The following is a 15,826-nucleotide window of genomic DNA, read 5'->3' on the forward strand; positions in this document are numbered from 1 at the left end:
CCCAGGTCACCTCCTGGAGGATGAGAAGCAACATGGAGCAGAGATGGGCCATCTCAGCTGCAATTCTAGACCAACAAGCCTGCCACCTGCCAGAAGGCAAGCGAAGCCACCCCAGAGCCCCAGCGCCAGCCGAGCCAACAGCTTGCCATACGAATCAGCCAAACAGCCTAGAAAAGAACTGCCCAGCCAATCCACAGAAAACAGAAATAATCAATGTTATTTTAAGCCATTAAATGTTGAGGTGGTTTGTTACGCGTACACTTTCCAACCTCTATCCCACCATGTGTTGCTGGAGGACAAAGGTTCTATTTTATTTACATTTGCATTTCCATTCCATGTCTTTCCATGTGTATTTCCATTGCATGCCCTGTACACATGTATGGGCGTCCACATGCACATGTGTGGCACATGACACACACACATAGAAACATGCACACATGTACATGCAACATGTATGCACACACACTTCTCTCACATGCTTAACTCCTAAATTAATTGTAGACACGAATTTCTTTCTTTTTAGTTTAGTTTTTTTTTTTTTTTTTTTGAGATGGAGTTTTGCTATTGTTGCCCAGGCAAAGCACAAAGGCACGATCTCTGCTCACAGGCACCCGCCACCACGCCCAGCTGATTTTTGCATTTTTAGTAGAGACAGGGTTTCGCCGTGTTGGCCAGGCTGGTCTCGAACTCCTGACCACAGGTGATACACCCACCTCGGCCTCCCAAAGCGCTAGGATTACAGGAGTGAGCCACCACACCCGGCCTCTTTTTAATTTTTGTTTTAGATTCAGAGAGTACATGTGCAGGTTTGTTATGTGGATATATTTCATGATGCTGGAGTTTGAGCTTCTACTGAGTCCGTCACCCAAATAGTGAATATAGCACCCAATAGGTAGTTTTTCAAGCCTCGGCTCCCTCCCTCCCTCCCTCCCCACTTCTGGAGTCCCCCGTGTCTATTGTTCCGTCTTTATAACCATGTGAATCCAGTGTTCAGCTCTCACTTATAAGTAAGAACATAGCTGCATGAATCTCAAGCATCCCTTCTGCAACTTCCTGTTGGGATTTTTCACTGCACTGTCAGTGCCTGGCAGCCCCAGACAGCAGGTGTAGACGCCCTGCATTCTCAGGCTTTAGAGAAGGTCACTCTAAATCCTGACCGGGACACGGTCCTTCCCCTTCCAATGCTTCAACACCATAGACAGGTGGCGGAGGGGAAGAGCTGTCAGCGTGTTCTCGGCTAGCTGGGCGATGAGACCTGCAAGAGGTGGTGATGGAGACCTCACAGGGCAACAGAGACCACCCCCCTTAATTCCTTTTCCAGGGGTAGAACTTATGGGGTCCCAGGCCAGCTGCTGGAACTACCTCTGTCTACACAGTTGAGACTTTCCCCTGGCTGGGGCCTGAGTGAACTTAGCTATGACCAAAGTTTCTCGTGGCAGCCTGAGGGACTTTTTATAATCTGTGCTGTGATCTGAGCCTGAGAAATACCAGCCTGCCTCCCACTGGCCCCATAACAACAGGGCGCTTAACTCACCATCCTCTACATTCACCACTTGGGAGAGCTTCTCAGAGATTACGGGGTCCAAGGTCAGGCTTTCATTCTGAAGCAGCCCAACATTCAGAGCTACTTGCCAGAGACGGGCAGGTTAGACATAGGCCATGCCTGGGATCTGGGTCTGCACCAGGCTTGGTGCCTTACCTCTGGCCCTGCAGTCTCCAGCCTGGTGGCTGGTCCCAGGGAAGCCTTCCTCCTGCCCCTGTGAATGCCTGGGACCTGGAATTATTCCCCTGCTCTCAGTCCCAAAGGCCTAAGCCAATTCTATGAGAAATGCTCAGAAACTACTGCTTTTAACAAAATGTTGCCCCTAGATACAGTCAAACACTGTTTCGGGAGTGTAAGTTGCTGTAAGCTTTATGAGGATAATTTGACAATATATATAACATTTTAAAGTGGTCATTCCATTGACATAGCACTTTTACAAATTTACCTTCAAGTATACAAAGTTTAAGAATATTTAATTGAGCCGGGCGCAGTGGCTCACGCCTGTAATCCCAGCACTTTGGGAGGCCGAGGAGGGCGGATCACGAGGTCAGGAGATCGAGACCACAGTGAAACCCCGTGTCTTCTAAAAATACAAAAAATTAGCCGGGCGTGGTGGCGGGCGCCTGTAGTCCCAGCTACTCGGGAGGCTGAGGCAGGAGAATGGCGTGAACCCGGGAGGCGGAGCTTGCAGTGAGCCGAGATCGCGCCACTGCACTCCAGCCTGGGCGACAAAGCGAGACTCCGTCTCAAAAAAAAAATAATAATAAATAATATTTAATTCAGTGTTGCTCATAATAACAAAAGAAACTGGGAGCAAGGGATGGATCATCTGTGCCCCCAGGACAAGGCAGACCCAAAGAGCAAGTGAACAAAATGAAAAGGCACCAAAGAAAGGCAGTTTGTTTGTTTGGGGATTTTTTTGGCCAATTAGAATTCACACTTTTTAGGGTGAGAATAGAATACTCAAATATTACCTAATAATACTTATTTTTTATTTAGTTACATATTTTAAAGCATGTTATATAAAATAATAATTCAGAAATATTGCTTTTTTTCTACCCCTATATTTTGTGAAATAACCTCTTTCCGTTCATTTTTAACTGAGCGTCCTGGGCACCACAAATCCCCTTTTGGGTCATTGAGTAATTTTCAGAATGTGCCATCTCAGTGGAGATTTTATTCTGGGCCATCGGGGAACATTTACTTCATATGAGGACAGGCTTTCATTTGGTTTTGTTTCATCCATTCATCTTGCAAGGGAATATTCATGCTTTCCACAAGAGAGGTAGCTACTTACTTACCATATTGCTTTTTTTTTTTTTTTGGCAAGGTCTCACTCCATCACCCGGGCTGGAGTGCAGTGGCACGATCACAGCTCACTGCAGCCTCAACCTCCCAGGTCTAAGTGATCCTCCCACCCCAGCCTCCCAAAGTAGCTGGAATTATAGGCACGAACCACCAGGCCAGCTAATTTTTAGTATGTTTTTTGGTAGAGACCAGGTTTCTCCATGTTGCCTAGGCTGGTCTTGAACTCCTGGGCTCAAGAGGCCTCCCAAAGTGCTGGGATTATGTATTGCACTTTAAAATACTATTTAAAGTTCTATTTACAATACCATTGAGTAAAGTCTAATAGAGGAAATGTAAGATAATCTTTATTTTCGAGGGAATTATTTTTAAATCTTGCCTTATATTAACTTATGCACAATAAATGTCTATCAATAAGGGTTTCCCTTAATCAGTTATGGCACAGCCATGCAGTGGAGTACTATATAACCTTTAAACAGATCAAGAGATCTTGAGCACAGAAGATGTCTGCAGTGTATTTCTGAATGAAAAGAGCAAACTGCAGAACAATATATACAGTCTAATTCTATTTTTCAATACATATATGTGTTACTATCCACAGAAAATGATACAGATTAAAATGTCATATTACTAATAGTTACTGAAATTGATAGGATTGTGAAAGCTTTCACTTTTTCTTCCTATATATCTGTTGTCCTAAAATTTTCTTATAAATGAGTATAGCTTCCTTTTATAATTATAAAAAAGGTTAAAATTAAAAATAAATGTATTGTGCCAATCCTAAAATTACCAACCATAAGTTGCTCATCAGATTTATATGATAGACTTCATGATGCTTAATATTTGTGGATAAATTATCATTTCTGCTGTATAGATAATGCCACTTCATAAATATACAGAAAATCAAGTGGATTTCCAAAATCCGAAATAGACTCTCCTATAAATTAAAGGAGACTGAAGACCCTGGCATGATTCTCAGGGAACAAATGTTTCCATTGTAACCCCCTGAACTAATCCATGAGGACATACCAACCTCAGGGCTTAGAAGCTCTTGCAGGGGCCTCCTGGCATTGTGACTAAAACCACAGTTACATTCTCTTTTAATGAGCCCACAGGCACACCAGAGATCCCTGCTGCATTCGTCAGGATGTGCTAGGGGACAGGCTCGCTATGGACAACCAGTCCCCCACTGAGAGCTAGAAAGCTGGGTAACGTGAGACACCCAGGAGCTCTCAAGGCAGGAGGACTTGAACAGGCAGGCCAGGACCCCAGAGTGAAGGGAGACCCCATGGGCTAATCATGACATTCTACACTTCTTTCCTTCCTGGGGTGTCTGTTGATCCATAAATGGCTTGGACAGAGGGCCAAGAAGCTCACAAGACAACAGCCCCTAAGAGACGGAGAAACTGAGCCGTTTCAGCCATCCCATGGGGCTGGATGCCAAGCATTGGAATTCAGATCTATTTAGGAAGCCAGGATTTATAGGGATCAGGAGACAACAGGATCCCAGAGAGAAAAGAAGATGCCCAGAGAAGTCAGTTCGACACACTGGGCCACTGTTGTTTGCAAGGCACTCAGCGGTTTCGAAGTGGCACAGGCCACGAGGAGGTAGGTGGAGAGGCAGAGGCAATATCTGAAGAGATACCGGCTGGGAATTTTCAAACCTGACAAAAGACATCAAGACACATATTCAAGAAGCACTTAGAACCCCAAGCAGAAGCATTATAAACACACACACACACACACACACACACACACACACACACACACACACACACATATTCACAGTCTCCCTGGTACATCATCATAAACTTGCTGAAAGGCAAAGACAAAAAGAATATATCAAAAGCAACAACAACAACAAAAACATATTAGCTTCACAGGATCAAGAATTCAAATGATAGCTGATTCTCAACACAAACGTGGAATGGAATGACATCTTTAAAATTCCAAAAGAAACCAAAAATTGACTAGAAAACTAAAATATCCTTCAAAAGCAAGGTGAATGGACCCAATAGAAATGCAAACATTTGTTCACCAAGAGATATGCACAAGAGGGTTCACGGCAATGTTAAATACTATTATACTAATGTCAGACACCGGAAACAGACCAGGCGCTGTGGCTCACGCCTGGAATCCCAGCACTTTGGGAGGCAAAGGCGGGTGGATCACTTGAGGCCAGGAGTTCGAGACCAGCCTGGCCAACATGGTGAAACCCTGTCTCTACAAAAAATACAAAAATTAACAGGGCATGGTGGCACGTACCTGTAGTCCCTGCTACTTGGGAGGCTGGGGCAGGAGAATTGCTTGAACCCGGGAGGCAGAGGTTGCAGTGAGCTGAGATCATACCACTGCACTCCAGCAGTCTGGGCAACAGAGCGAGACTCCGTCAAAAAATAAAAATAAATAAATAAATAAAAACAACAACAAAACAAACAAAAAAACCTGGAAACAGCTCAGCACCCATCAACATTAGAAGAGATAAACTGTGGTAAGATTTATAACATTGAATGCTACATGGCAATGAGAATGAATGAACTAGGACTATACCTAACAGCCTGGAAGAATCTTTCAGACACTGAATGAAGATGGCAGAGACAAAAACAACAACAAGCTAACCTTTGTTGTCAGAAACCAGGGCAGTGTTTACCTTAGGAGCAATAGTGATGAGAAGAGCCTTGGGAGGCAGCAGGCGGGCGGGGGAAGGGGGAGGTTCTGGGGAACTGGTAACGTTCTGTTTCTTGATCTGGGATCTGGTTTCATAGCTATATTCACTTAGTGAAAATGTATCAAGCTGTGCATTTATAATGTATGTGACTTTCTGTATGTATGCTAGACTTTAATAAATAATTTACATATAACATGGAAGCTAAACTATAATTTTTACAAGACAAATTCGAGAGAAAGAGCTAATATTTAGTGCCAAATGCACAGTAGGTGGTGAATAATTTTTTTAAAGCCCAGAGAACCCTCAGATGTAAGATTACAGATCCCCGGCTTTCCCGGCGTTCCCGGCTTTTCTCTAAGCAATGACTCACACCTTTATTTAGTATACCTAAAGTTTTTTCTAATTACAAGAGGGAATATATAATTATTATAAGAAATTTAGAAAAATATAGAAAAAAAGTAAGGAAGAAAAATGTAAAATACCCACAACCCCACAACTCCAAGTTTATGTAAAGTGTTTTTATTTCTGATCATCTTTTTGCACACTTGTACACTAATGTTGTGTAAGTGTGTGTTTTTACCTTATTCATTTAGCAGCATGCAATAAACACTTTTCTTTGTTATAATGAAGTAAAGAAATAAAAGTGAGGGTAAGATAAAGACATTTCCAGACTTCCCCTCAAAAAAAAAAAGGAAAGAATTTATTGCCAACAACTCACACTAAAAGATAGGTAAAGAGGAGATTTTTGAGCAAAGGAGTGTAATCCCAGATGGAAACTAAAAAAATAAGGCAATAAAGAAAATCCCTGGAAAAGGTAAACATTTGGGCAAATATAAATGAATTTTTACTACATAAAACAAAATGAATAGGCAATAAAAATTCAGGTTAAAACATAAAAAGGATTAAATGACAAGGAAACAATAGCATAAAAAGGCAGGAGGGGTAAATAGTGTAAAAGCTTTCCAAAGTTCTGGCCTTGTCTGGGAAGTGGTAAAAGTTTTGCTCTATATTAGTCTTCAGTAAATCAAAGATGCATGCTATAACCTCAAGTAGAATCACCACTGCAAGAATAGTAAAAGACAGTCTCACTAACAAGCTAATGACAGAGGAAATGAAATAATAGGATTTACTCATTTCATCCCAAAAAAAAGGCAAGGAAGGAAAGAAAAAAATGAACATAGAATAGATGGGATAAATATAAAACCCACAGTAAGATGGTATGTTTAAACCCAAACAAATCAGTTATTGGATTAAATGTTCAACCAACATGCCAACATTTATTAAACAATATATAACAAGTGTTAAAGGTTGGACTAATATGGCGAAAATTGGACTGAATACTCCAATTCAAAGATGAAGATTTTCAGACTCGATTTTTTTTAATCAAACTATATGCTCCTTATGATATCACAGAAATGCTGAAAGTCAAAGGATGGAAAACAGCACAGGTTTATTTCTGGCTCCTGTAAGGGGCACCAGGCTCTGGGTGACCTCTGGGGCATGACTGGGCCTCCACGACCTTGGTGAGTGTCACGCAAGCATTCAATGCTCCCTAGAGGATGTGGCCAGCATTGCTGTATTCACATTTCATCGCCAAGGCACACCACACGGCCGCCACTCCCTCCAGGGACCAAGGAGCACAGCCCTTCATGCACAGAGGGAGCCCAGTGCCACACGGTCCCTGCAGGTGGCCAGCCCAGGGGGAGAGACCAAGAGTGGGCTGTGGCTTTCACTTTTGGCCATGGTCAAAGACTTCACCTCGGCCGGTCTCCAGCAGATGTCCTCTCCTGGTCATAACAGTCAGGGCAGCTGGGCATGGTGGCTCATGCCTGTAATCCCAGCACTTTGGGAGGCCGAGGCAGGAGGATCACTTGAGATCGGTAGTTTGAGACAAGCCTGGGCAACATAGCAAAGCCCCGTCTCTACAAAAAAAATACAAAAATTAGCCAGACATGGTGGCATACGCCTGTAGTCCCAGCTACTTGGGAGGCTGAGGTGGGAGGATCATTTCAGCCCAGGAGGTGGAGGTTGAAGTGAGCCGAGATCGCCCCACTGCATTCCAGCCTAGCCTATAGATCCAGACCATGTCTCAAAAAACAAAAACAAACAAACAAAAAAAAAAAACAAAAAACAGGGCAAGCACATACATGGACAGCTGGAAACCCATCTCGCCCGCACCTGCCCTCCTGCCAGGTGGTCATGGGCCTCACTTGGTCCAATTTTGTCCAGGTCACCAGTGGTTTCAGATTTGGATGAGAAGATAATGGCTTCACCTTGGATGCTCTGGGCCGATGCACTTGGGGAAGATTCTGTGAGCTTTTGGATTCTGGGAAGAGTCGGCATCCAGTAGGCAGTAAGGTGCACATGCCAGGGGCTCAGGGGAAGCCTTGCCCTAGAGACACAGGTGCAGATGTGCCCCAGTTATCTTTTGCTGCACAAATAACAGCCCCCAACTTGGTGGTGTCAAATGGCCATTTTATGATGCTCATCTGTGGGTCGTGAATTTGGATGAAACCATCCACAGCATGGACGGTTTGTGTCTGTGCTGGGGAATCTAGGACCTCAGGTGGGAAGAGATCTTGGGATGGGAGTGTGTGGCTGTGAGACCCAATCTCCATCCTGACCTGAGAAACGGTGTGACCTCAATACCGATGAGCTGTCAGAGGGAAATGAAGTGCCCGGCCACTTCCCTGGAGGCGCACGCCTCCCCTTAATCTCCTCTCTCCACACCAAATGCGGGCCTCGAGAGGGGGATCCCAGAGACCCCAAGGCCCATGCGCTGCTGCCCTCTGGAGACACCCCAGCCCCCCCGCTCCTCCACTCACACTCACACACACACCCTCACGCATGTATTCACACATCCTTGCACACATACACTCAGACCCTTCCGAACAGGCAAGACGGTGCCTCTTGCTCAGACCCCTTCCCGGACCAAAGGACAAACAGTGAAGCACGGGCTAGAGCCCTCCTCACCCAATTGTCATTTTTATTGGTAGCCCTGGATTCTTCCGGCAGTGGAGAGGGAGGAGGTGCTGACGAAATCTCACAGGGAAGCTGATGAGAAGCAACAGCCAAGAACTGCCCACTCGTGGGAGCAGCCTGTCTCTTCCCACCTCTGCCAGGAGGGTGTGGTCACCAGAATTCCCCAGCTGGACAAAGGAGGTCGAGGGAAGGTCACCCCTCCCAGCAAAGTAAGGAGAGTGCCCTGTGCCCTGTGCTCAGGAGAGATTGGGGCCGCACCCACCTGGCATTGCCACACCTCTGGCCTCTGCGCTCCCAGTCCCTTCATCACTGCAAGCCTCGGTTCCCGCCTCTGTCAAATGGGCATTTTCATGTCATAAAGCTTCCCAGGTCGTTTTCGGAGAATTCCATGGCAGCCCTTATGAAAGCACCCTGTACACTGTTAATGCAGGCACTGTAAAATACTATGATTAAAAATCATATTTTCTGGCCAGTTGTGGTGGCTCAAACCTGTAATCCCAGCCCTTTGGGAGGCTGAGGTGGGTGGATCACCGGAGGTCAGGAGTTCAAGACCAGCCTGGACAACATGGTGAAACCCTGTTTCTACTAAAAATACAAAAATTAGCCAGGCATGGTGGCAGGCACCTGTAATCTCAGCTACTCCGGAGGCTGAGGCATAAGAATTGCTTGAACTCGGGAGGCTGAGGTCGCAGTGAGCCGAGATGACGCCACTGCACTCCAGACTGTGCAACAGAGGGAGAGTCTGTCTCAAAAAAAATCCTATTTTCTGTTAGTGGAGGGGGCAGAGGACAGATTCTGGGAACTGTATGTGCACTCAGGACCTCTTCCAGCATTGCATGGAAATGATCTCTGGGGCCTAAGGAAGCAAGGGGAGGGCCGTAAAGGGTGCCCCGGAGCCAGGAAAGGGCATGGAGGCAGTGTGGCCTGTTAGGCAGGTGGCATCACAATTTCTGCCAGGCCCTGCCTCACCCCAAACGGTTTCCAGAAAAGGCACTGTTGCCGTGGGAACACTCGTCCAATTATTCTACTTTGCAGAAAATCACTTTTCAGCCAACTTGGTTAGAACACGTCCCTTCTACAGAGCAAAAATTGCATCTTGGTTTTTGACCTCACCCATGACCAAATATTTGAGTGGAGAAGTGGCCAGAGGACTCAGGCCACAAGAGAGATGGTCATCTAGCGGGAGATGGCAGGAGAGACCCAAGCCCTGTAATAAACCGCAGGTGGACTCCAGATGTCTGCAAATTGACAGACGAGTAGGAGCCTCCTTGAGGGACGAAGGGACAGCAGGAGTGGGGAAGGATTGAGGTTGCTCGATTCCACTCAACCAGTGGCCCTGAGGGCCAGGCCCTGCTAGACACTAGGAAAGCAGAGATGCTTCCGACACCACTTTCTGCCTCTGTGGGGGGCTCAGAGTCCAAAGGGGAGTGGACACTGGTGAGCAGATTAACAATAAGTGACAAGGACAAAGATAGAATATGTTCTAGGTAGTAAGAAGTAGCTCAAGGGAGGAGAGAGAATGGAGGAGGGTAACTTGGAGGCTGGGTTTTGACGTATGAATAGGAGTTTGCCAAGCAGACAAAGGGTAAGGGAGGGTGCTCTGGGCAGAGGAAGCACGAGTAAGGAATGGAGTCATGCAACAACAAAGTACATTATGAGAACAACAGGTTGTTGAGCAGCGTCCCGGTGGAAAACACCAAGGGGGAGAGACAGAATCGTCAGGTTGGAAGCTGAGTGCGCCCTGCAGAGTCCGGTGTTTGGCCTTTGTGCAGTGGGAAGAATCCCCATCGGACTGGCATTTGACAAAGGCAGGCAGGACAGAGGGCAGGAAGGAAGGGCAGAAGACCAGCCAGGAGGCAAGAGGCAAAGAAGCCTGAACCGGCGCCAGTGTCAGGCAAAAGGAGCAGGAAGAGAGGATCAGCAGGCCTGGGTCTTGGGGGATGGAGGGCCAGGGCCAGGAATGAGGAGAAGGCCCTGCCAGTTCTCAGCCTCGGGAGACAAAGTTTAGAGATGGCTTGAACCAAATGGGGGACAGAGGAAGGCTTGGTCTGGAGGGTGGAAATGGGGCAGATTGAGTCACATTGAGGAGGAGGGGCCCAGGGAGCATTGAGGAGGTTGGCAGGTGTCAAGTGCTATTGAGCCAAACTGCCTGAGTTCCAACTCCAGCACTGCAGAATACTAGCTGTGTGGCCTTAGGCAAATTACTGAACCTCTCTGAGGCTGTTTCATCTCTCTTATGAGGATTCACTGAAGTCCATGTGAAAAGCACGTAGCCCAGGAAGGGAGCTGATATGGGCTCTTAAGGCCCAGACTCCCTGGCTTCCTGGCCAGGGTCCTCCTGCAGCCTCCACGGCCTATGGCCCCTGCGAGACTCAGTAAAATGTGTTGCGTGCAGGGCCGCCCTTTACCAGGCCCATGAGCCTGCCTGGTGCCCTCCAGGGTGAAGACCACCTTGTCCAGCTGCCCCTCCTCCCCATAACTCACCTGGCCATGCTAGGCACAGCAGAGCGAAGATACATTTTCCCAAGCAAGCGAGACCCAAGTTACAGCTAGAAATGTATGGAATATGCTGTGTCACACGGAAAACGGCAATGCCTGAAATTCCAGGCTCCCTCCAGCTCCCCACTGAATGCACATCCTCCAGGGACATCCCAGAGGCAAAAGAGGTGGGAAGAAGGGGCAGGGCTCCCCCACACCTGAGTCCCTGCTGTGGGTTAGGGATGCCCGTCTGATCTCAGACTGGCAGCATCTATTCAACCATGTCTACCTCGTTCCCTGAGGGTGGGAAGGACTCGTTCTCTTACACGACTTGTTTCACCTTTAGGAATCAGCGGACAGTGGAGCATAGCAAGGAAATCCTCCCACCACTCAAATTAGAACAAAAGGTGCCTGCAATGGCTCTGCAGTGTTCCCCTCCTTCCTAGCTGCTTCTGGTGTGTGCAGAACCAACAGCATGATGAGGTCAAGGACCAGGCCAGGATCCGCTCAGCCCAGGAAGAAGGGAAGGCTTTCAAAAACCATGATTTGAACTCGCTTAGTTGCTCTTCAATGAAGTGCAGAGCCCTTGGTTCCCTGCACGCACACCAGCACGCCCAGCCTGCGCGTTCCTCTCTGCTCCTCCCGAGACACTGCAGGCTGCACCTACGCGAGCGCTTGGTCCTCCCTCCCTCGTGTCGTCTCAGGAGCTCCCTGCAAGAGGCCCACCCTGCCTATGAGTTCCTAGTCTCCGGGGCCCTGCCTTAGTTACTTTGCATGTGTTGATTGGACATTAATCCCAAGCTAGGTATTTTACCGACCTGGGTGACTTTACTTTTTGGGGAACAGAGGCGTTCTTTGTCAGCTTGCCCGCTCTGTGGACTTTGTGTGCATGTGGGTGGCTGTGTTCAATGGATGACCTGCTGGCACTTGGGATGGAACAGTCCAGTCTCCTACCTCCTGGCTGTGCCTTAGAGAAGTCTGAGGAAATGACTTCCCTGGACAATACACACCTCTCCACTAGATTGCTGCTGGCTCTTCACCAGCAAAGCCACCTGGAAGGTAGCTCTGGCATGGAGAGTTTTTCACCAACCCTGAGCTCCTCAAAGATGCTCACCTGGCTCAAGCCACTTCCACCTTCCTCCTTCTGTGCCTAGCACAGTGCCAGGCATGTAGGAGATGCTGGCAAATGTGTGTGAACTCATTCATTCATTCATTCATTCATTCATTCATCTCTAAGATGGTCTCAATTCTCCCTAAAGGCCAGCATTCCTCTGCAAGAGACTGGAGAACCTGGCGTGTATCTGTGTAAGAAAACCCTCTGTGGAGAGCTGGTAGGGCCATATGGCCCCCAAAGAACAAAATAGAATAAGCCGGTATGGGGGACTAGACAGGGGCATGTCCAGGTGCCAGGGAACATGAGTACCGGTAGGCAGCTCCACCAAGCCTGGCTGCTGACGGCAGAGAGCAGACTGGGGGAGTCCAGGCATAAAGGCCAAGGTGTGACCTTGACCCCCAAAGGAGTAGAGGAGAGACCGAGGCAGCAGGACTCTGGCTGGGGCTGACAGCCCAAAGTCTCTCCTACAGAGCAGTGGTCAGTGCCCGAGGAGCATTAGAAGGGCACTCCCTCAGGGTAGCTCCCCCCGCCCTGCCACCCCTCCCCATCACTGCCCCCACTCAGGAAGCAGAGGCTGGCTTCCCCGAGCCAGGAATTCCTAGACCCCCAGGGTGTCTGTGATCATCTCTATCCGCAACCCCCACCCCCACCCCCCGCCGCTTCCCACGTCAAGGAGACCTCACTGCCAACTCTTGGGAACCTTCATTGCTGGCATCTGCTAGAGATGGCCCCTGGGACCTTCAGGGCCTCAGACACCCACCCACACACCCACCCCAATTTCCCAGACCATGCAACAGTGTCCTTGAGAGGCCTCTCAGAGCAGGGCAGGATCGTGAGCTTGGGGGCTTCACAGACCTGGGATGGAAAACAGCACTTACAGTTGCCTGGCCTTGAACAAGCCACCCTCCCAGGCCTGAGGTTTGCTTGTCTATTCCGCAGAGGGGATGACACCGCCCCCACCCCCAGAACTGCTGGGAAGGGGAGCCATAGGGTGACATGCAGACAGCACCTGAGACAGAGCTTTCCCCTCCTCTCCACAGCCTCCCGCCCCACCCTGCTCCGTGAGTGGAGTGATCACATCTTCCGCACCCAAAATTGAAACACGTGGTTTGACAAAGGATTTCTGGGCTCTTGCTAGATACACAAGGGGGTTTGAAGGATTCCATCTGAATGTCAAAATGGCAGGAAATCCACATCCTGCAGGTGAAGCTGACTTTGAAAACAGGACTGCTCTGGGACTCCAGAGTGAGTCTCCTCCACAGACACAAGGGTTGGTCCTGCCTGACCCCAGATATCCAGCCTTCCCCCTCACCTGCTACCTTGCCCATTACCTGAGGCCTGGGCTGCAGGGTGCCCACCCCCATCCTTGATGCAGCAACAAGGACTGAACGTCCCTGGCTCAGCATGGAGCTGGTGCCAAGAGCAGCCCACCAGGCAGAGGAAGAGAACTGAATCCACCACTACTGCGGAGGGAAACGATGCAATTCATAAAAAGCATCAGACCCTCCCCGGCCCCGGCATCACTGCAGGTGGAGACAGACCCCAAACAGGTGCCTGGGCTTCCACTACAAATCACCCTATTGGGAAAAAAAGGGTGAAAGATCTCTATAATGGAAAACCATGACTCAGTTCTGTTGGTTTGTTTGTTTTTTAAGGCAAAGCTCTCAGCTCTGCAAAACAATCCCAGGGTCCTTATAATTTAATCAAAAGGTGGGGCATTTGGTCCACCCTGAAGAGCCAGGCATCATTTTCTGGATGTCTGTTCAGCTGGAAGGAGAATGAATCTCTTCCTTTCTAAAACAATAAAAAGGTGGATAATTAGCGTGTAATGGTTAATGGGTAATTTTACAGGGGCGAGCTGAGTTCATAACATCATTCTGAATATATTTGCATTTAACTGAACTCCTTTTTTCTGTCTCTCTTCTGTGATTTTTTTTGTTGTCACTGTAATTATTTTAATTGAGATCTTCCTGTAATGAAAACAAAGAACAATGTCTGTGGGAGGCTTCTGAGGTGGCCGTGAGCTTGGCGGTGCCTCCTCTCCCAAGTCAGCTCAGGGTCCGCAAGCCCCTCACTCAGCCTCTGGAGGCCTCTGCCCTCTCCACCTGCTCTCTCACTCGGCTCCACTGACGACAGGAACAGGCAGGGAGGCTTTGTGTATGCGTGTGTGCCTGTGTGTGTGAGGGCTTCTGTGTGCATGTGTGTGCATGTGCCCATGTGTGTGCATGTATATGCATGTGGGGTGTGCGTGCGTTCATGTGTGTGCATGTGTGTGAGCGTGTCCGTGTGTGTATGTATATGCATGTGGGGTGTGTGTGTGTCCATGTGTATGCACGTACATGCGTGTGGGGTGTGTGTGTGTCCATGCGTGTGTGCATCCATGTGTGTGCATGTATATGCATGTGGGGTGTGTATGCATTCGTGTGTGTGTGCGTGTATGCATGTATGATGTGTACATGTGTGTGCATGTACGTGTGTGTGCATCCATGTGTGCCCGTGTGTGTGCATGTATATGCATGTGGGGGTGTGTGTGTGTCCATGTGTATGCACGTACATGCATGTGGGGTGTGTGTGTGTCCATGCGTGTGTGCATCCATGTGTGTGCACGTATATGCATGTGGGGTGTGTATGCATTTGTGTGTGTGCACGTGTGTGCATGTATGATGTGTACATGTGTGTGCATGTACGTGTGTGCATCCATGTGTGCCCATGTGTGTGCATGCATATGCATGTGGGTGTGTGTGTGTCCATGTGTATGCACGTACATGCATGTGGGGTGTGTGTGTGTCCATGCGTGTGTGCATCCATGTGTGTGCATGTATATGCATGTGGGGTGTGTATGCATTCGTGTGTGTGCGTGTGTGCATGTATGATGTGTGCATGTGTGTGCATGTACGTGTGTGTGCATCCATGTGTGCCTGTGTGTGTGCATGTATATGCATGTGGGGGTGTGCGTGCACCCATGTGTGTCCACGTATATGCATGTGGGGTGCGCATGTGTTCATGTGTGCATGCATGCATGTGCGTGTATGCACGTGTGTGTGCATGTGCATGCTTTCGTGTGTGCATTTGCCTTCCTTCACTGACCCTCACCTGTTCCAGGACAGAGTCTTGCTATGTTGTCCAGGCTGGACAGTGCAGTGGCTATTCACAGGCGTGATCACAGCTCACTGCAGCCTCGATCTCCTAGCCTCAAGTGATCCTCCCGCCTCAGCCTCTGAGTAGCTGGGACCACAGGTGTCTGCTACTGCACCAGCTTCAGTGCAGACGTGCAAAGGTACAAAGTGAACACTCAGGAAGCTCAGAGAGAGCCTGTGGTCCCCAGGAAAGGCAGCTCAAAGGCAGCTTCTAGGGATAAGGCCAGCAAAGAGCTTCAGGCTGTGCATCACATGTCGACCACCTTGGCTTTGGGGTCCTAAATGTACCAAACACAGGGAGGATGGGAAGAGGTGCCTGCTCACAGAAGCCTCTGTCCCAGCACAGAGGGGGCTGCCCTCGTTTCTTCAGCTCCCTGTCTCTCCACATGGTCACCAGGAGCATTGCTCAGGAAGGCCAGTCCCTGGGAAGGAACAGTAACCTTCCCAGAATGAAAGCCGCAGTCTAAGCCACAATGGGGCCATCTGTGAGGCTGACAGGGCCTCAGCACAGCTGGGGACACAAGCAGGCAGCAGACCCTGGAAGACTCCATCCCTGGAAGTCCTGATCAGGAGGGGCACCGGCCCACCCACTCAGCCCA

At 48.7% G+C, this 15,826-nt stretch overlaps 1 long non-coding RNA gene across 1 annotated transcript in view, besides 1 other annotated feature; it reads right to left on the bottom strand.

The window, feature by feature from the left end:
• Positions 1–15,826, bottom strand: part of LOC105371908 (uncharacterized) — a 42,983-nt gene that overhangs the window by 16,532 nt on the left and 10,625 nt on the right. The gene's annotated exons all lie outside the window — the stretch shown is intronic.
• Positions 14,192–14,838: an enhancer, noted in NCBI's record as "OCT4-H3K27ac-H3K4me1 hESC enhancer chr17:75824461-75825107 (GRCh37/hg19 assembly coordinates)". NCBI's record gives its function as "activates a minimal SCP1, AML or CMV promoter by ChIP-STARR-seq in naive H9 embryonic stem cells {active_cell/tissue: H9 hESC(naive)}" and the evidence as "EXISTENCE:reporter gene assay evidence [ECO:0000049][PMID:30033119]".

This window comes from Homo sapiens, chromosome 17 (genome assembly GCF_000001405.40).
Source record: "Homo sapiens chromosome 17, GRCh38.p14 Primary Assembly".
NCBI classification, from domain to species: Eukaryota; Metazoa; Chordata; class Mammalia; order Primates; family Hominidae; genus Homo; species Homo sapiens.